Below are 21,818 nucleotides of genomic sequence, written 5' to 3' on the forward strand. Positions count from 1 at the left end.
TAATGTTGACGGCTTGAAATCAATTATAGGGAGAATATTTACACCATGGCAATTGACAAATGTTACAAAGCAGGACCTTTTTTTTTTAGAAGTGTCAGTCATTAAATATTTACTAGCACTCCGCTGACTGTACAATATTCATTTTATTTACCACCATAATTTGTTTAACCAAGCCCTCGCTAACCGACATCTAATTTGTTTCTAAGTTGGCGTGTTTTGTTGAATGCAGAAGTTAGGCATGTAGCTATGATCATTTCCTTAGGACCCACTTTCAGGAGCTGAATTACGAGATTAGACTCCAGAGCATTTGAGAGGGTCTTGATACATGTGGCCAAACTGCCCTCTAGAGCAACTGTTCTAATCACATTCCCAGGAACAGATGCAACTGAGGATGTTCCCGGGAAAGGTGGGAGGTGAATCCCTGGCAAGGGGGAAGGCACCAAGGACATACCTGTGGGCACTTGGCAGCGCTGTAGCAATCCCCGGCTGTGGCAAAAGGGACGGGATGTCCTTCGCTTGTCCTTGCAAACTGTAAGTCAGTGGCTGTGGGGTGGAGAAGGGGTTAAAGGCAGGGGAAGGTAAGAGTGGGAGAAAGGCAAGGAAGGAACAGGACATTAACAAGGAGACAGAAGGGAAGAAGAAGAATAAGAGGGAATGGGAGAGAAAGAAGCAATGTGAAATATTAGTGGGTAAATGGATCCAGATGCTCACTTGCTTTTTCCTGATTATATTTGTGGTTCTGCGAGCTTCATTCCCCGAGCTTCATCAGCCCCGAATGTCTGTCTCCCCACAGTATGGAAGCCAAAAAGGGGGTTTCAAATGACTTTGGAATTGATTCCTACATAAATAAATATGTGAATCACCTCACTTAAATGTAGCGTAATTGGCTGGCTGAGAACCTCCTGTTATCCTGCATCACAGGCTTCAGGCCAGGGGGAAATAAGCCAGGAAGAGAGCATTTCCAGCTACTTAGGAGCGATTCCCTGAGGTTTCCTCTGTCCTCCTGTTGCCTAGGCAGTATTATTGCCAAAATGTGGCGCAATTAGAACCCCCATCTTGAAATTATTGACAGCAGTTTCTCAAGTTCGGGGCTAGCCTGTAATTTTTTATTTTTTAAAGAGCCAATAAATACAAGGCTAACCCAAAGTGCACGTTGTTAACCCCTACTGTAGCTCCTGAGATGAGCTCTGCACATGCAAAGGGAGGAGTTAACCCGAGAATCCTGCAAAAGCTGTCTGCCAGGGAGACTGGAGGCCAGAGGCAGGTTTCATCTTTCTGCCTCGTCTTTCAGGAATGGCCTTAATCTTCCTACAGTTCACTACACTTTGGTGAGAGGGAAATCCCAGTGCTCCATTCTGCAAGGAAAGGGGACCTTGCCTGCTTCAGCATGTAGAACCCTTGGGTCTTAGCTGGGGTGTTTTCCTAAGTGGAGAAACTGCAGACCCTCTGCCTTTACCCCTCATCATTCTAGCTCAAGGAAATTTAAAGTATCTTGGTACAAATCACGTTTAATCTATCTCAAGAGAAAAGGAATGCAATATTATGGGTATAATGTTAATGAGGAAAAATTAATTATTCATTATTTCTGTTTTTCCTTTATGCAAGGGAACATGTTGAGGTATTTTAGCTGTCTTTAACCACTCCTATGATTAATGTCCCCAACAGAGATGCAGTGTTGGCGAGAGTATGAAATCAGCCCACACACAGGCTAGTTTAGAAAAGGTAATTCTGTGTTCCATTTTTCTTCTGCACATTGACGACTGAATAAAATTAGTTTTACGTCTGTGTAAGCATGTACACTGTGCTGGCGAAAGCTGGGCTGGGGGTGGTGAATGTTGCCCATGAATTTCTTGGCTTTGGGGTTTTGTATCTGCTGTTTATTCTACCTTGAACACTTCTGCTACCAGCTCTGCTTCCCCCACACTGACCCCTGTGCCTGGCTAACCCTAACTTGACCTTAGGGTCTCTATTTCAATGTCATATTTTCTGGAATGCTGCCCTGACCTCCCACATTTCAATGGTGCTTCTTTCATGCACTTTCACCTACTTCATTCATTCATTCATTCATTCAGTTCATTCATCACAAATCGGAGAGAGCACCTGCCTTGTGCGAGCCACTTTCCAGGCACTGGGGAATACAGCAGTGAACAAAAGAGACAAAACTGCCTGCAGGACTATCCTCGCTGCACTGTAAGCTCCCAATGTTCTTCCTCTCCATACTAGCCAATGTGCAATGTGCAATGTGCAATACGCACCTCCCTGCTAGCCAATGTGCAAGACATGCTTGCTGTCTGAATGGAGAGAAGAACGCACACGTTCCCAAAGGACTCCTCACTAACTTACTGATTATCTGCATGCTGGTCAGGTCTATTCTGATTTTCTGAAAACTGGAAAACCCAGCGGCCGTGTAATCCTTCCGACATTGGCAGTCATCGCGCCGGCTCCCGTTATAGGGACATTCTGTTGGGTTGTGTAACCTAAATTATACAGAGAATGTTCTGGTAAGGATGGGAAAGCATTTCCAGGGATCTCCAGGCCTCTGAGATCTTCTGAGCCTGGCTCTCCTACCTGTGCCCATAAACCTCGGAGAAATTCTCAGAGTCTCCATGCACCAGTGTCACGTACTCTTTGGGGTGGTCAGAGTGCATCCCCGCACAGAATATCTGAAAGACCATAAATAACCCATGAAGAGTGGCTCAGAAATGAGGTAATGAGAGCGGTGATCACTCACTCTAAAAACATTCTTGAAATAATGACTGGTGTCTGACATTCACCTTCAGAAGCTTTCCTCTAATCATCAGGAAATATTCACCATCTTCACTGGCACCTTTAAGTCTTTTTACCTCCTTGCAATTCTGGGGTAACTCACCTAGAAAACACCAATCACAAAAAATAGGGTGTGATGATCCGAGATGTGAATTATCTGCCTATAGAATGAATGACATTGTTCGCACTAAAACTTTTTAGCAAAGCGAATGATTTCCTTCAGAAAAAATTCTATATTTCTAAAAAGGGCAGGCAATCAAATGAACAAAGACATCCTGTTCTTCATGCTAAAGAAAGATAACTTCAGTTGGCCAACTTACAGTTATAGACATTACGGCAGGTTTTTCGTTCTTCTGGCTTCAGATCAGTGTGGCATAAGTGGCTGGGTTGGTCCTCATTGGTTAAACATTGCACAGATCTCTGCATCACTCCAACACCACAAGACACTGAGCACTGTAAGACAAATGAGAGTCAGCGGTGTGGCTATGGAATGTGGGAGGCATAGGCTTCTGGTGGTGTGGAGCTCAGAGCCCTGATGTCATCATGTACAGGGTGTCACTTCAGACCCTGTGTCGCTGAATACAAAAAGCTGACATTTACTGAGCACTTACTATGGGCCAGTCCCTGTGGTAAGCTTTATAGATTCATGTTCATGCATTTATACAAACATATATATGTATAAAACACTTATATGTGTAATTTTACACACACACACACACACACATAATTTTTTCATTTAAGCCTCACAGTACCCCTATGAGATAGTATTACCATTATCTTATTTTTACAGGTGGGAGATTGGGGCTCAAATTTAAGGAATTTGTTCAAGGTCATAGTGGAGCCAGGATTCAAACCCTAACTGCTTCCAAGTCGTTATACACTTTTGCCTGATCACTTTTCATTTCTTTCTTTCTTTTTTTTTTTTTTGAGACAGAGTTTTGCTCTTGTTGCCTAGGCCGGAGTGCAATGGCACAATCACAGCTCACGGCAATCTCCGCCTCCCAGGTTCAAGCGATTCTCCTGCCTCAGACTCCCGAGTATCTGGGACTACAGGCACGCACCACCTCGCCCAACAAATTTTTGTATTTTATTAAAGCAGTGTGTAGAGGGAAATATATAGTACTAAATGCCCACAAGAGAAAGCAGGAAAGATCTAAAATTGACACCCTGACATCACAATTGAAAGAACTAGAGAAGCAAGAACAAACACATTCAAAAGCTAGCAGAAGGCAAGAAATAACTAAGATCAGAGCAGAACTGAAGGAGATAGAGACACAAAAAGCCCTTCAAAAAATCAATGAATCCAGGAGCCGGTTTTTTGAAAAGATCAACAAAATTGATAGACCACTAGCAAGACTAATAAAGAAGAAAAGAGAGAAGAATCAAATAGACACAATAAAAAATGATAAAGGGAATATCACCACCAATCCCACAGAAATACAAACTACCATCAGAGAACACTATAAACACCTCTATGCAAATAAACTAGAAAATCTAGAAGGAATGGATAAATTCCTGGACACATACACCCTCCCAAGATTAAACCAGAAAGAAGTTGAATCCCTGAATAGACCAATAACAGGCTCTGAAATTGAGGCAATAATTAATAGCCTACCAACCAAAAAAAGTCCAGGACCAGACAGATTCACAGCCGAATTCTACCAGAGGTACAAACAAGAGCTGGTACCATATCCTTCTGAAACTATTCCAATCAATAGAAAAAGAGGGAATCCTCCCTAACACATTTTATGAGGCCAGCATCATTCTGATACCAAAGCCTGGCAGAGACACAACAAAAAAAGAGAATTTTAGACCAATATCCCTGATGAACATCGATGCAAAAATCCTTCATAAAATACTGGCAAACCGAATCCAGCAGCACATCAAAAAGCTTATCCACCATGATCAAGTTGGCTTCATCCCTGGGATGCAAGGCTGGTTCAACATATGCAAATCAATAAACGTAATCCATCATACGAACAGAACCAAACACAAAAACCATATGATTATCTCAATAGATGCAGAAAAGGCCTTCAACAAAATTCAACAGCACTTCATGCTAAAAACTCTCAATAAATTAGGTATTGATGGGACATATCTCAAAATAATAAGAGCTATATATGACAAACCCACAGCCAATATCATACTGAATGGGCAAAAACTGGAAGCATTCCCTTTGAAAATTGGCACAAGACAGGGATGCCCCCTCTCACCACTCCTATTCAACATAGTGTTGGAAGTTCTGGCCAGGGCAATCAGGCAGGAGAAAGAAATAAAGGGTATTCAATCAGGAAAAGAGGAAGTCCAATTGTCCCTCTTTGCAGATGACATGATTGTATATTTAGAAAACCCCATCGTCTCAGCCCAAAATCTCCTTAAGCTGATAAGCAACTTCAGCAAAGTCTCCGGATACAAATACAATGTGCAAAAATCACAAGCATTCTTATACACCAATAACAGACAAACAGCCAAATCATGAGTGAATTCCCATTCACAATTGCTTCAAAGAGAATAAAATACCTAGGAATCCAACTTACAAGGGATGTGAAGGACCTCTTCAAGGAGAACTACAAACCACTGCTCAACGAAATAAAAGAGGACACAAACAAATGGAAGAACATTCCATGCTCATGGATAGGAAGAATCAATATCATGAACATGGCCATACTGCCCAAGGTAATTTAAAGATTCAATGCCATCCCCATCAAGCTACCAATGCCTTTCTTCACAGAATTGGGAAAAACTACTTTAAAGTTCATATGGAACCAAAAAAGAGCCTGCATTGCCACGACAATCCTAAGCCGAAAGAACAAAGCTGGAGGCATCATGCTACCTGACTTCACACTATACTACAGGCTACAGTAACCAAAACAGCATGCTACTGGTACCAAAATAGAGACATAGACCAATGGAACAGAACAGAGCTCTCAGAAATAACACCACACATCTACAACCATCTGACCTTTGACAAACCTGACAAAAACAAGAAATGGGGAAAGGATTCCCTATTTAATAAATGGTGCTGGGAAAACTGGCTAGCCATATGTAGAAAGCTGAAACTGGATCCCTTCCTTATATCTGATACAAAAATTAATTCAAGATGGATTAAAGACTTAAATGTTAGACCTAAAACCATAAAAACCCTAGAAGAAAACCTAGGCAATACCATTCAGGACATAGGCATGGGCAAGGACTTCATGACTAAAACACCAAAATCAATGGCAACAAAAGCCAAAATAGACAAACAGGATCTAATTAAACTAAAGAGCTTCTGCACAGCAAAAGAAACTACCATCAGAGTGAACAGGCAACCTACAGAATGGGAGAAAATTTTTACAATCTACCCATCTGACAAAGGGCTAATATCCAGAATCTATGAAGAACTTACACAAATTTACAAGAAAAAATCAACCCCATCAACAAGTGGGCGATGGATATGAACAGACACTTCTCAAAAGAAGACATTTATGCAGCCAAAAGACACATGAAAAAATGCTCATCACTGGCCATCAGAGAAAGGCAAATCAAAACCACAATGAGATACCATCTCACACCAGTTAGAATGGCGATTATTAAAAAGTCAGGGAACAACAGGTGCTGGAGAGGATGTGGAGAAATAAGAGCGCTTTTCCACTGTTGGTGGGACTGTAAACTAGTTCAACCATTGTGGAAGACAGTGTGGCTATTCCTCAAGGATCTAGAACGAGAAATACCATTTGACCCAGCCATCCCATTACTGGGCATATACCCAAAGGATTATAAATCATGCTGCTATAAAGACACATGCACACGTATGTTTATTGTGGCACTATTCACAATAGCAAAGACTTGGAACTAACCCACATGTCCACCAATGATAGACTGCACTAAGAAAATGTGGCACATATACACCATGGAGTACTATGCAGCCATAAAAAAGGATGAGTTCATGTCCTTTGTAGGGACATGGATGAAACTGGGAACCATCATTCTCAGCAAACTATCACAAGGACAGAAAACCAAACACTGCATGTTCTCACTCATAGGTGGGAACTGAACAATGAGAACACTTGGACACAGGGTGGGGAACATCACATACCGGGGCCTGTCATGGAGTTGGGGGCAGGGGGACGGATAGCATTAGGAGATACACCTAATATAAATGACGAGTTAATAGGTGCAGCACACCAACATGGCACATGTATACATATGTAACATACCTGCACTTTGTATACATGTACCCTAGAACTTAAAGTATAATAATAAAAAAATTATATTTTAAGTAGAGACAGGATGTCACCATGTTGGCCAGGCTGGTCTCGATCTGCTGACCTCATGGTCCGCCGACCATGGCCTCTCAAAGTGCTGGGATTACAGGTGTGAGCTACCATGCCTGGCTGCCTGACAACTTTTCAAGACTGAGAGCTGCCTGGTCCAGAGCCAGGGGGCTGTGACAGTCTTCCAGGGCAGTCCCAATTTAAAATATTCTGCCTTGTTGTATCCCAGTGCAATGAAGTATTTCTTACATAGAAGCACTAGAACATACAGACTTCTTAACAACATAAGCAACAATAACTACTCCTTCTGTAACTCTTATGAGTATCAGATTTTAAGCATTTTTTTAAAACAAATTTGCAGTAAAATATATATAAAACATTTGCCATTATAACCTAAGTGCTTTTTATATATAGGCTGAGTATCCCTTATTGGAAGTGCTGGGGACCAGCAGTATTTTGCATTTAAGATTTTTTTTTTTTCAGATTTGGAATACTTGCAGTATTACTAGTTGGATATTCCTAATCTGAGCATCTGAAACTCAAGATGCTCCAAGGAACATTTCATTATGGTGTCATATCGACACTAAAAAATGTTTGGATTTTATAGCATTTTGGATTTTGGATTTCTGGATTAGGGATGCTCAATCTGTGTAAACTCATTTCATCTTCACAACTACCAGTTTTGCAGATGAGAAAACTGAGACACAAAGGTTATGCAACTTGCCCAAGGTTGTTCACCTGGGAAGTGGCAGAACCAGGGTTCAGATCCAGACTGTCTGGCTTCAGAGCCCATGTTCTAAGCACAAAGCCACTTTGGTAAACAGAAAGAAGTCCCTTTGATCCCTGTTAGCCCATTTCAAGTTGCTAACTCCAGGGTTTCTCCTGGAAGTAGAGTTACTAAGGAGAGCGGGTTAGGCAGGACATGTTTAAGACGGGGTTGAGATCCAAGGGCTTTCAGATTTGAGTGCTCAGTCTTCTACTTACGCTCCCCCAGTTGCCAACTCTCCAGGTGGCCGAGACAGGGCAGTCCCTCAGGTAACAGGGGTGAACACTGGGGGGCTGCGTGCCTGGGCAGTTGATGGTGGTTTGGTAGCTGTATTCATAATTCTCCTTCCCGGTGTAAATCTCGCTGCACGAGACAAGCCTTTGTTTGTAGCCTTTTCCACAGGTCACTGAGCACTGCAAAGACAGGGATTGAGAGGAGAGGTTCGAGCAGTTCCTGGGGGCAGCCCACAATAGGCCCCTGACCTCCACACCAAGCGCTGACCGTGTGACTATGCTGCAGAAAGCTCCCACTTCATTAGCTTATTTATTCATTTCAAGTGGCAGGCCCTGAGCGCACAGGAGACAGGCAACCCTACAGGGTGCCTCTGGGATCTGGTGCTTCCACTGGCATCTTCTCAGCCCCCACTGCAGGTGGGGTTGCCTCAAACCCCTTCTGGAGGTTTCGAAGGGAGGAGGAGGGGGAGGTGCTCCAGCTGTCATTCATTCAGTTTGCATCTTCAGCCCAACTGCACAGGTTGGCAAACTGCTCTTTTCTAAAGCTATGATGACCACCAAATTGGGAAGGGAAGAGGAGACAGCAGCAGCTGACCCGTGAGTCGGCATTTTGAGTGTGAAATCCAAGCACTGAGCCAACGGGGACTCTGGGACTGTTTTCCTTCCCTCCGTGGTGCTGTTGGCTTTCCTACCTGCCCTCCATTTAATTTCTTTCTCCTATCTCTCTCCCTGGCTATAGATTTTTTTTTTTTTTTTTTGAGACTGTGTCTCACTCTGTTGTCCAGGCTGGAGTGCAGTGACATGATCTCCGCTCAATGAAACCTCCGTCTCCCAGGTTCAAGTGATTCTCATGCCTCAGCCTCCCAAGTAGTTGGGATTACAGGTGTGTGCCACCACACCCAGCTAGGCTATAGATGTTGACTGGCATGTTACCTTTCTGCTTTTCTACCTCTTGCTCTATATCACGCCCTCATCTGTACTCTTTTATCCTAAGTCTATGGCATTTAAACATACTCTACCAATACAGAAATGCAGAAGAAATACACATCGTTATAGTGTCCCAACTTTCAACCTCCTTAGCTAAGTTTTTTTTTTTATCATTTTCTATATAAAAAATAAAACAGAGTTACAATTAATTTAGTTTTGATGATATTTTTAGGCAACAGCATCAAATAACTGGTCATCTTTTGTAAATGTGCTTCATAAACTTGGGGTAGAGTGCCGGTATTCTCTAGACTTACGGTTCTTGGGTGAGGGTGGGATAAATACCCCAAAACAGTATGCCACATGTGGTGTGTTATGCTTTTTCTGGGGTGAGGGACCACAGCTTTCATCAATTCTCAAGGGCAGTGAGAAGCCACAGTGTCTGCTCTGCCCTAATGTCTCCTGCTGCTTTTAGTCACATAGTTTTCTTCTCCTGCAACTTTTCCAGGGAAAAGGCTCTCCTTGAAGAAATCCCAGAGGCAGGAGAGAACAAGTCCAGCTAGAGGCACGCAGAGCATCCCTAGGCCTTCCCTTCCAGTTGGCTCGAGACATAGAAATGCTCTGTGTACATTTCTTCCTTCTTTGGCTGCTGCTGTTCAAATGTTTGAAGGCCAAGTTGACGCCAGGCCAGGAAAGTGTAAGGCCAGCCCGGGGTGTTTCATGCAGATGGCTAACAAACTCTGTCCAAGCTGTGGGTAATCTTAGTGTCTGACCCAGTGTTGCATGCATTGACAACAGTCCATACTAACTTAAACAAAGTTGTGCATTTGAGAGGGGCAAGGAATGAGACTCTTGACCCCTACAAACCAGGAGCAAAAGTCGTCCCCTGGCTATTTATGTGGGGGGGAGCCCAGTGGGAGACAGGCATTTGCTGATGGAACTGAGCCCCAAATATGGTCAGGCTAAACACAGAGGCCTCCACATCTCTATAAAGAAGCTGGCAAGAACAGATGCTCTCAGCTAGCTGATATCAGCATTGTGAAAATGTTGACTGCTGCTGGTTTCCTCAAACCATTTCAGAGAGAAACTCATACTGTAGACTCTGCATGCCTTGGTGTATGTGCTTGGTTCCACATGAGCACGTATTACTTTTCTAAATTGAAAATAACAGCAAAGCAAAACAATAAGACTGTGGGCTCCCTGCATGAGCTGTACACTTCAGGCCCTGCTAGAAAATGCATGTGTCAATCAGGACTGACAGAGCTCTTCTTTGCCAGTCTAGCTCGGGCCTCCGCCAATTCAGGTGGAGTAGAGCTCAGAGAAAAACACACAAAGAAGCCTCCAGGTAATAGAGGTCCCAGAGAGAAGGCATGTCTTCTTTTCTAGAGAGGATGCTGGTGCCAGTCCCTTTCGGCCCCTCTCCCCTCATTGCAGGTTTCCTTCCCTGTGGTCCCTGTATCTGTGCTAAATACTGTTTCCAGCCCTGTAGTTGTTGCCCATAAATTTGCAGACTTTTCAATTCATGATACACCTGCAAATTTACAGAAATGTGGAAGGCTTCCTTTTTTCTTTTCAATCTTCTCCCTGTTTCATCTTTTGGGGGTTATGGTTATATTAAAGCTATAGGAGTAATATGACTCAAGTCCCATAATAAAAGTGCTACACAAGAGATAAGCTAAGATGAAGATGTCAATCTTGGCCAGGTGAAAGGTGAGATCCCCCTGCGTTGGGATCTGGATGGGTTGGAACCTATGCCTCAAACCCAATATCAAGAACTATTCTGAACACTCATTTGGATTCCACATGTTCCTGGCTGGCCAAGAGCAAATCAATGTCGTAAAGATCAGAACCATGTCTCCTCTTCACTCTCTAAGGGCATGCGGTACTACTCAGGGCATACCGAGAAGATGCAGGGTTGGGGTCGAGCAGGGTTTCCCAGCCTCAGCACCACTGACATTTGGGCCAGATAATTCTGTATTGTGAGGGCTGCCCTGCGCACTATAGGATTCTTAGCCCCATCCCTGGCCTCCACCTTCCAACCCTGGCCAGTAGGGTCCCCTTTCCCCAGCTGTCACAACCAAACTGTCTCTAGACACTGCCAAATGTCCCCTCGAAGGACAAAATTCACAGGAATAAAGGATAGGGCGAGATAATTAGAAAAGACTTTGGGATCAGCTTTAGTGCAGGAAGCAATTCAACACCCAACACACACATCATCTAAATGCAAATATTCATCTCATTAACATGTGAAATTGCTGCCTGTCAAACTTTGAAGAGACCCAGTGGCAGCAATCATATTACCTAACAATTTTCAATACCTTTACTGTGAGTCCAGATGCCTCCCTTTCGAATCTCTAAATGCTTTTGGGCAAATGACAACTGGTTTGACTGCTACAGATCTCTCATACAGATATGAACATATTACGATGTTTGAAAATAATATAATCATGCTATGATTACTACTGGTTTATTACCATTAAAAAGGGTCTAGATAAGCACTGTGCACAGGAAGATATATGAAAAAATGGTACTTGAGATACTTCGGATATTATAGAAAATTATTTTCTTCCTCTGAAGCTGTTTGTTAAACAGGCACAACACATCTGGTTCATGAAAGGGGTTTGTTTGCCCCTTACAATGTTTTAAAACCAAAAATTTCAGCCCCCATTTTCAAGTTAGGAAATCTCACATACTAGTCCAGATTTTTAGCCTCTCTTGAAAAATCAGGTCTGGTAACGCTAGACCACATTTCTGCATGGCCACAGCTGGAGTGAAAGAGATTCTGCTCCCTTCACACAGCATGTGCTAGTTTGTCACAGTTGCCATCTCTCCTTGTTGTATCCCTGGCACTACAGTATTTTCTTATACTTAACTGTCTTCAGGCACCTCACAGCATCCTATGAGTTTGCAGCCCCTGTAATAATTTCTTCTTTATGCCAATAGGACATCAAGGTGAATCACAGAATGTAGACCTGAAGGGACTTAGAGACCATCTCTTACATCTCTCCCGCTTTGCATACAAGGAATTCTAGCTTGGGAAAGCTGAGGACTTGTCAGAAAACACACAGTTCACAGTGGCAAATCGGGCGGGTAGCCTCAAGTCTCCCACATTCCTGCACTCATCCCTCCACTCATCCCTCTGCCACTCTCAGGCCATGGCTGAGCTGACGATGGTTACAGTTCCCAGGACGGTACCTCTGACCATTCTCCTGTGATCCAGACATACTCGCAGGGTTGCAAACTACAGCTTTCACGGTCCACCGGCCGCTTGCTCACGTCACAGCGTGCCCCATGCACCTCGTTTTTGTTGTCATCCACACACACCACCTTGCGGTACCTGGAGCCTTCGCCGCAGGTCTTGGTGCACTGTTAAATACAAGCAAAAGAGAAGAATAAACCGTAGTTCCTTATATCCTATGACTGTAATTATGTGTTTACCTGTCTACATAGCCTTTAAGATCATAAGAGCCCTGAGGGCAGGGATTGCCAGAGAACTTCTCGTTTTTTTGTTTTTTTGGTTTTATTTTTTTTGAGATGGAGTCTTGCTCTGTCTCCCAGGCTGGAGTGCAGTGGCACGATCTTGGCTCACTGCAAGCTCTGCCTTCCGGGTTCACGCCGTTTTCCTGCCTCAGCCTCCCGAGTAGCTGGGACTACAGGCGCCCGCCACCACGCCAGGCTAATTTTTTGTATTTTTAGTAGAGACAGGGTTTCACAGTATTAGCCAGGATGATCTCGATCTCCTGACCTCGTGATCTGCCCACCTCGGCCTCCCAAAGTGCTGGGATTACAGGCGTGAGCCACCACTCCCGGCCGAGAACTCCTCATTTTACCCCAGTTACCTAACAACTCTGTTCCTGGCATTCACCACCCAGCTGTCTAAAGGAAGGAAGGAAAGTATAAATGAGTCAATCTCAGTTTAGAAAGGACCTTAAATCCTATTTACTTCAAACACCTACTCACAAGTGACTTGATATTGACACTTATGGCCAAATGTTTACCAAGCTGGTGTCTAAATACCTCCAGGATCAGGGACATCAGTACCTTCCCAGATAGCCATCTCATTTCATAACATGGAACCAAACAAATCTCTTTGTATGTTCCAGGCCCCTGTCCTAGTTTTCCATTCCAGGAAAGCATAAAGGAAAGTTTCAGCTCTCACAAGTAATCTCCTTCAGCTATTTGAAGAGGGCTTTCCTTTAGCCCCAGGTGCCTTTTCTTCTCCAGGGGAACTGCTCTCATGCCACATCATTCTGCAAATATTCACTAAGTTCCTACTAGGTGTCAGGCCCTGTGACGGGTCCTGGGTGAACAAGAGTGCACACAAATGGCACATTCTCTGTTTTCAGAGAGGAGCTTATATGTTAGTAGCAAAGGCAGACAACAAAGAAGATAGCTAGGTAGTGAGATTTAACAATTACTGTAATTCCGTTTTCCAGATGAAGAAAATGGGACTTTGAGAGCCTAAGTTACTTGCCCCAGGTCACACATCTCTTTGTGAGGTAGACGGGACAGCTATGTTTATTCCCATAAGCCAAGGGATGATTACAGAGCAAGTGGTATGTTTCATTCTAGGATAATCTCTATGTCCACAGATTCTTATTTGTTTTGCTTTAGCCAACACCAAACCCCACCCCTGAAGTTTATCCTTAGTGCCCTGTGTTGCTAAAGGTCACTGAAAGCCTATTGTATCTAAAGCCTCTGTGTCACCCAACATTTCAAGACTCATTGGGAAGCCCCAGTGAGCTAAGTGAAACCTGTACCAAGGACTGCTGCAGTTTCTTAATTTAGGCCAGGGATTGAATACCCTGTTGGCAACGGGCTTATCTAACAACTGTGATTTTTGTTGTGTGGTCAGAATGTTGTCTTTTCTTTTCTTTCCTTTTTTTTTTTTTTTGAGACAAAGTCTCCCTCTGTTGCTCATGTTGGAGTGCAGTGATGTGATCACAGTTTGCTATAGCCTCGACTTCCCTCCTACATTTTAGTCCCAAGTAGCTGGGACTACAGGCATGAGCCACCACGCTCAGCTTATTTTTAAATTTTTTGTAGAGATGAGTCTCACTACGTTGCCCAGTTTGGTCTTGAACTCCTGGGTTTAAGGGATCCTCCTGCCTTGGCCTCCCAAAGTTCTGGGATTACAGGCGTCAGCCATCATGCCCAGCTAGCACACTGTCTTTTAAAATGTCTAATTTTAGTCTCTTTACGGAGAACTACAGACCCCACCTCTCTTTTTCATCTAATGGGCAGCCTTTCCTTTTATCCCTGCCTTGCCTCAAAGGCATTTATGTTTGGAACTCAGCTTCACTCAGAAATGTCTTCTATGATATGCCCTATGTCTTTTTTTTTTTGGTGATAAAATACACAAAATATAAAATTCACCATTTTAACTATCACAAGTATAGAATTCAGTGGCCTTTAGGACATTTGCAATATTATGCAACCATCACCCCATCTAGTTCCAGAATATTTCATCACTGCAAAAGGAAGCCTTGTACCCGTTCACCAGTCCCTCCCCATTCCTTCCTTCCTGTAGCCCCTAGCAAACACCAGTCTGCTTTCTGTCTCTGCAGATTTGCCTATTCTGGGTATTTCACATATATGGAATCATCCAATATGTGGCCTTTATTACCTGACTTCTCTCCCTTAATGTTTTCGAGGTTCTTCCATATTGCAGCATGTATCAATATTTCACTCCTTTTTAAGGCTGAATAAGATTCTGTTGTACGGATATACCACATTTTGTTTATCCATTCCTCAGTTGATGGACATATGGGTTGTTTCTCATTTGGCTATTGTAAATAGTGCTGCTATGAACATTCATGTACAAATTTAAACACCTATTTTCCATTCTTTTGGGTATATATACCTGGGAGTGGAATTGCTGGGTCATATAGTATGCCCCGTGCCTTTCGTGAGCTACCCTGTTCCTTTAGGAAGGAGAAGGGATATGCTGGCATTTCCTGGTAGCCCCTTGTCACTTGCAAACTAAACTTAAAATTTCTGCTGCTTGGGAGTAAACCTCAATATCTAGAATATGGAGTCAGTCCTCATTTTTCTGGAGCATAAACATAACTTGAAACCACTGTGAGGTGAGCATGGAGGAGCAGAATCATTTCAAATTAGTGCAGGAGGCCGGCTGAGCCCAGTTCCCTAGCTCATCCCTAGCTCAGTGGTTTTGGGGTTCTCTATTCCCCTAGAAAAAAAGTGTTTTTTTCATCATTAAAAAGGTGAGATAGAGGGCCACCGAATGTTAAAAAAGAAAAGAAAAGAAAAATTTAATCTGTGATGTGTAGATATATGCAAATACTTAACCACCCATAGAAAAAGTAATTCCTTAGAAAATTAGGACTTAGGTGACTCTGAGAAGATCCTAATTATTGCGCAGCTAAACCTGGACTAAACCTTCCAGTATCCTCTCTTGTTTTCACTAATCCACAAGGCTTTAATCTGCATCAATAAGTAACAGTTCAGAGCAGAAATACAATGAATCCTAAATACTTTATGCTTGTTAAGCGTTTCTCTCTCAGTCTTAAAGAATGGTTAACTACTGTAAAGACTATTTTGCCAGCGGTGGAAAGGGGAGCTGGAAAAATTTACCTTGAATATAACTTTTACAAAATTAAAAATTAAACTAAGTAAATAAGTGACTTGCCCAGTGTTTCCTAAATTAGTCAACAGCAGCTCTGAAAATCACATGGCAAGGGTTTTCTCCTGGAATCTTAAATCCTAACTAGGGTATGGGGGCTGGGTAATCAGAAAACAAATCGAGTCCATGCTATCAGGTTTCATCAGCTTTTTGTAATATGGCTTCCCCCTCAACCCTCTACGATTTATGACTCTTTCCCCTGTCCTGGAATATGATCTAGAATGTTCTGAAAAACAGTTGGAAAGTTCAATTAGCCTCATTTTAATTTCCAAAAGGTTTTCTCTAATTTCAGTATGGCTTTTAGAAAAATCTCTAACACAAGTAACACCACCAGCCTCCTTGCATTTCATCACACACTATAATTCAGAAAGAAAATAATCACAGTGCTGGACTAAATCGGGCAGCTCGCCCATTGTTCTGCAAGCTACATGTGCCTTTAAATATGCTGAAATTAACAGGGGGAAAAGAACTTCTCCGAATTTGAGGGTGAGGAAGACCTAAAGTAAACCCTGAAGGTGGTATTTTATTCAGCCAGGTAGGTTGGCCACAGAGTGATGGTCTGAAAAGGATCATTTAATGCAATGGGTAGAAATTTTCTTTGCTTAAAGATTATAATCAAGTTGCTTTACACTTTCAAATATATCTTTTGGTGCAATTCCCTAACCATGGGGGGAAGAAAACCGCTTGAGAGTCACAGGCTCTACCTTTTAAGGTTGTTGATTTTCTCCATGGATGAAAGACCTTGTCTTCTCTAGTGCTGGGTTACCATTGTTGCACAGTGTATGGACGGCAACTCACAGAACCACAGGGTTCCTGGGTTTTTATGTCATGAGAAGCAGCAATGACAAATCAGTTTATCTAGCGTTGCTTTAAATGGCAACAACGAAAAAAGCAGTCCTTACTTTAAAGCTCATTTTAAAGTCAGGTATACAGAATTTAGACATTTTTGCTCCCAAATAGTATATATTTGTTAGGAGGTGCGGTGGGGAGAAGGAGGCAGAAATAATACTATGGAGACACTTTGTAACTTTAAAGTCATTCATTCATTCAATCAATCAGTATTTTACAATGAGCCAAGGTCTATGCTGGGGCCCCGGGAGGCAGCCTCCATGGCTTCGTACCCTGTCTCTCTCCCTGTTAGGACACCCAGGGTGGCAGCTATTCCCAACTTGGGTTCCCATGTGTTAGCTCAGCTGGCTGACTGGTGACCCCTGGGGTTTAACACCTAGGGCTACCTGTGCAGTTGTGTAAGCAGTTGTGTTTGTAACAGAGCATGTAATTGAGTAAGAAGCCACCAGGGAGAGAAGAGGAAACACAACGGGGCAATTCCCATGATGCTGCAAAGGTGGGCCCAGGTAGCAGCAGATGAGCAGGAGAATGATGGAGGACATCAGTTCACCAGGCAAGGAGGGGAAGAGGACATTCTTAGGAGGGGCTCAGCATGCACGGTGGCTGGAGGTGAGAAATGGCATGGGTGGAGAAGCGGGGGAGCAGAATGACCACAGCATTTTGGGGTTTTCAGAGCAGATTATTTGTGGTTTGGGATTTTTAGAGCATCCCTAATGCCTAATGCCTGGAACTTCACAAGGGATTGATAAACGCTGGTTGAATAAATTAATAAAATGAGCAATAAAGAGTTCGTATCTGGCTCTGTGCGCACATCAAAACCTGGTCATTCCCTACTGTTAACTTCAGGAAAATCTTTTAAATCAACTGACCAAGGACCTGCTGCTCATTTCTAACTTTTCTGTGTTAAGGAGATGCACTTGGAAATCATTCTACAGCTGATCTTAATAAAAGCCCTCAGACTCCAAGTATGTATCAGAGTGGCCCAAGTCCCCATACCGCACCAAACAGCAGCGAGGTGAGCAGTTCTGCAACAGTCAGACATATCTGAGCACAGCTTGTCCATGGCATTGTGAGAAGAAAATAAAACAGCTGTTCTTACAGGAAAAACAGAGTTTGACTGTGCTTTTATTTTTTTATTTTTAATGTTTTTGAGACAGGGTCTTGCTCTGTTGCCCAGGCCGTAGTGCAGTGGCCTGATGATAGCTCACTGCAGCATTGACCTCCTGAGCTTAAGCAATCCTCTCACTTCAGCCTCCCAGGTAGCTGGAACTACAGGTCCATGCCACCATACTCGGCTAATTTTTTCTATCTTTTGTAGAGATGGAGTCTCACTATGTTGCCTAGGCTGGTCTCAAACTCTGGGGCTCAATGATCCTCCCTCCTTGGCCTCCCAAAGTGCTGGGATTATAGGCGTGAGCCACTGTGTCCAGCCTGCTTGACTGTTCTAAAAGTCATTTTAGAATGCCTTTATTCTATAGAGTGAAAGATGAAAGTCCATCAATTAGCAGGCACTGTTCTATGTTTTTTTCCTTCCTTCCTTCCTTCCTTCCTTCCTTCCTTCCTTCCTCCCTCCCTTTCTTCCTTCCTCCTTCCTTCCTTTTTTGCTTCCATCTTTCCCTCCTTCCTTTCTCCCTCCTTTCCTTTCTTCTTTCCTTCCACCCATCCATTATTTTGTTTCCTTCATTCATTCACAGATTCATTCATTTAACAGGTATCTTTGATGTTGTAGGTACCATGTTAAATGATAGAGAAGATTCTGGTGAACAAGCTTCCTGACCTTAAATAACTGATAACATAGATGAGAAAAACAGGCAATGAGAATTCCAGGTGTTAACTGCCAGAGTACAGTAATCTGCGTGTGTTGTGAGAGCTGAGTGGAGGAGCATCTGACTCAGATTTAGTGGGGTGGTGTGATTGGCAAAGGCTTCTGAGAGGAAGTGACATCTAGGTTGAGGCCTGAAGGATAAGAAAGGGTGACTGAGGTGAAGGTCAGAGGAAGGTGGTCTTATGATGAAGAGGTACTACAAGAGAAGAGTGTATTCCAGGTAAAGGGGGAAAAGAACACATGCAGGACCTGTGAGATCTATTCCTCAATGCTGCAGATGCATGGCCCCATACGATCACAATTCAAATTTGACCAGAAGGACCTCTGCTGCTCTAAGTGAATTTATATGTCAGATTGTGATACTATTAACAAGTAAATCCTTTGTGATAATAATTCTCAAAAGAATTAAAAAGTCTTTTTTAACTTTTTTCTTCCAAACAGCCTCATGAGCATTATAATTCTAAAGTGGGTAAAACTGACCACTGCGAGGACAAATTACTCACCTGAAGCTGGCGGGTGATATTAGAAGCCCAACATTATAAGGTGCAGGCTGAGTCAAACTGCTGTCATCACCAGAAGCCTCCATCGGAAGGCCACCGTACTAAAAAGAAGTCTACTTTGGGATGGCCTAAAATGTGCTAGTCACCATGTCGAATCATGTCATCTCACCAAATCCTCACTGTGACCCTTGAGCAAAGTCTGCCATAGAATTCCCATTTGGCAGATGAGCTAAGTGAAGTCTAGAAATTCAGAGTCAACTTTTCAGAGCCACACACTGAACAGAATTTTGCCTACAACATGTTGTTTCTAGGATGTAAACAAAATGAGATGTGGATGTGTGGATAGAGCACTTTTCTCTTGTCCAATTATTCTACCCTATATCTGAAAGTCTGGGCTCTACTCTCATGGTATCAAGAAGGCCCCTTTCCCCTGAACAACCAATGGGCTTCACAATGAACAGGAAGTCCACTGAGGGGCTCCAACATCATCAAGACTCGCCTGGTGACATGGCTTAAAGTCTGATAGCTAACTAGATCAAGAATCTCCTTTTTAGAAGGGGTAGGTGTTACAACCCAGTAAAGGGAATACACTTTGATAGCAACTCTCCAGTAAGAGGCTTGGCAAATCATTGAGAGGAAAATAAAATAATTCACTTTAGGTGTATTTGGCATCGGATTAGTGAAGATAATGATTCAGAGTGTAGGTGCCAGCGTGCAAGCTTCCGGGCTTCAAATTCCAGCCATATTATTTACTAAATGCATGATCATTGATAAATTAACCTACCTAAGCCGCAAGTTGCCCCTATTAAATGAGGATAAAAATATAAATACTACATCAGAGAGTTATGGAAAGGGCTAAATGAAGCACTTCATGTGAAAATACTCAACATAGTGCCTAGTTTGTAGCTTAGTAAACAATAAGCTTTATTATTTTTATTATCTTCAGTATTAGGGCCATTGTACTATACAACTCTAGGGGACGCTCCTCACATTGTATAAAAATGGCATCCCTCAAAGTTGTGCAGTATACAACCTGTGTGGCTGTACAGAACATCCCTGATGACCATGGCCATGGTGAGGGTGCAGAAACTGTGCTTCTCTAGGCAGATGCTTGGATTATTTCTCAAAAAGAGGATGGTGCCATATCCTACGGACCAAGCATGCAATACACCTTGCCAACAAACTGGTGGGTTTTAATAGTCCACATAGGGGACTATTAAAAGGGGAAGCAAAAGGCAAAGTGCATACTCAAGCAAACAAGAGTTCTGAGGTGGTGGCCAGGGACCGCTAAGAAAGAAGGGGTATCCTATAATGGGGGGCTCCTGCACATCCCATTCAGTGGGCTGAGAGGCTGCCCTGTGGCACACTCTCTGACCTCAGGTCAAGACGTCACTAGGTGTGGGAGAAAAGTGGAAACGTGTGCCTGCATCAGTGGATATCAGGTAAAACGGTGGCTGAAAGAATGGATGTGAGAGGCGGTGGCAGCAAGATCGGAGGTGAGGGCTGTGATTTAGGGGAGCCTGAAGGGTTCTGTCTTATCAAGTGACCACCCAGTTTACTGTTGAACAAGGGCGCTTTTGATCATAAAAGTAGGAAGAATTAATAATTACATGAGGACTACCCCAGGCAAACAGGAGGCGTGGCCACCCTTTTCCTGATTTGATCAATTAAGGTAATTGCCCAGTTACTGTCGTCCTTCACGCTCAGTCTTGCTGCTTTGGGGACATTCTGAGCAGGCTGTCAGCAGGCCTTGCATGTATGGGAAACATGAAGACTTTTGGTGGGGCTTCTCCCCACCTCCAGCTGCCCTGGGCCTCACTCTGCCAATGAGAGGCCTCCTGTAGAATACCATAGGAATATCATAGGAGATACTCCTATGATATTCCGTCCACTTTCACCACCCCAGTATTCCTTCCTTAGACCCTCCACTTTGGGTGAAGGCAGATGAGAAAGCGTGTTCCCAGGAGGGTGACTATTAGACTCTGCTTTTCCTGTTACTCACAGAGTCTTTTCTCTTTGTGAGAATGGCAACCCTCTAGTAAGCTTCTTAAATAGAGGCCCAGGCCAGGTTATCTCCTGAAGCCGTCTATTCTTCCACAGAGTTTAACAGGAATATTTGAGTAAGGTTTAAAAAAGATCCATCTGCACGACACATGCAAAGAAGTAAATTTTAGGCATATTGTGCATGATCAGAGAAGAGGAATTTCCTCAGTGCATATGTGGCAAGGTTTTTCCATTCTTCGGGATGCAAAAGGAATTGTAAACAGAGTGTGCATTTTCGTGATTGGCTCTAGCATTTTCAAAAGCTGGCTAAAGCACAAGCAGTCAGCTTAGATTCATTTCTGAACACTCTCTTACTTTCCGCTCCTCGGAGCAGGGTTGAGTTTAGCGTGACACAAAGAGGGAGATGGAGAGAGCAGGCCATGGTAGGTCTGAAAAAAAGAGAATCAAGAGGTCACACTGAGGGGGAGAGCGAGAGAGATGAGGGAGTCTCCTCTTCCTTCTATATCTGACGTTGCCAATCCCCAAACCATAATAGATAACACTATTACCTCCAGTTTTCTCAGAACAACTCTGAAAAGTTATTTTATCCCCATTCTACAAATGGATAATCCAAGGCTCAGAGAAATCAAGAATCCTTGTTCTAATTCCCTTGGCTAATGTGTGGCAGTGCTAGGATATGAACCAAGTCTGTAGAATTTTATAGTCTCTAGGGTTCCAAATAACTGGTGTGGCTCAAGAGCTGTTAATCTGAAATGTAACTGCTTTAGGCATTCCTCCCTGCCACTGTCTGGTGGGAATAAAAAAGTAAAGAAGGAAAACAGGAAAAAGACTGAGTAGATGGAGAGGGTGAGTTTCCTAAAGAAAAGAAATTACTGCAACCAATGGAAGTAATCCATGAGGAGGCGAGGGAAGAGGAAGACAGGGCTGGGCGGCTGAATCCCAATGGGGTAAAGAATGCAGTTCTAGTATTTCTTAATGGTTTAAGAGAACAAGCTTAGCATGAAGTCTTGCTTCTTCCACTTGCTAGGTGCTAGGTATGTGACACTTGGACA

At 43.2% G+C, this 21,818-nt stretch overlaps 1 protein-coding gene across 5 annotated transcripts in view, besides 1 other annotated feature; it reads right to left on the reverse strand.

Annotated features, from left to right (window-relative positions):
• ADAMTS9 (ADAM metallopeptidase with thrombospondin type 1 motif 9) overlaps positions 1-21,818 on the reverse strand; it is a 172,347-nt gene that overhangs the window by 23,098 nt on the left and 127,431 nt on the right. For 4 of the 5 annotated variants that reach the window (XR_007095711.1, XR_245151.1, NM_001318781.2 and 1 more), the window contains 7 exons: positions 12,141-12,311; positions 8,007-8,201; positions 3,087-3,219; positions 2,775-2,869; positions 2,569-2,663; positions 2,344-2,477; positions 452-543 (listed from right to left, as the gene is read on the reverse strand). Coding sequence is in view for 2 of the 5 variants with exons in the window: in NM_001318781.2 (NP_001305710.1) it covers positions 452-543; positions 2,344-2,477; positions 2,569-2,663; positions 2,775-2,869; positions 3,087-3,219; positions 8,007-8,201; positions 12,141-12,311 (915 nt within the window). In the remaining 3 variants the exon portion in view is untranslated. Of the gene's footprint in view, positions 1-451; positions 544-2,343; positions 2,478-2,568; positions 2,664-2,774; positions 2,870-3,086; positions 3,220-8,006; positions 10,099-11,818; positions 12,312-21,818 lie in introns of those variants that run through there. The other variant, XR_007095712.1, reaches the window with a different exon arrangement.
• Positions 2,060-3,259: an enhancer, noted in NCBI's record as "BRD4-independent group 4 enhancer chr3:64526487-64527686 (GRCh37/hg19 assembly coordinates)". NCBI's record gives its function as "activates an origin of replication core promoter dependent on BRD2, P300/CBP, MED14 and CDK7 cofactors, and independent of BRD4, by STARR-seq in HCT116 cells {active_cell/tissue: HCT116}" and the evidence as "EXISTENCE:reporter gene assay evidence [ECO:0000049][PMID:35650434]".

Source organism: Homo sapiens, chromosome 3, assembly GCF_000001405.40.
Source record: "Homo sapiens chromosome 3, GRCh38.p14 Primary Assembly".
Taxonomy (NCBI): domain Eukaryota; kingdom Metazoa; phylum Chordata; class Mammalia; order Primates; family Hominidae; genus Homo; species Homo sapiens.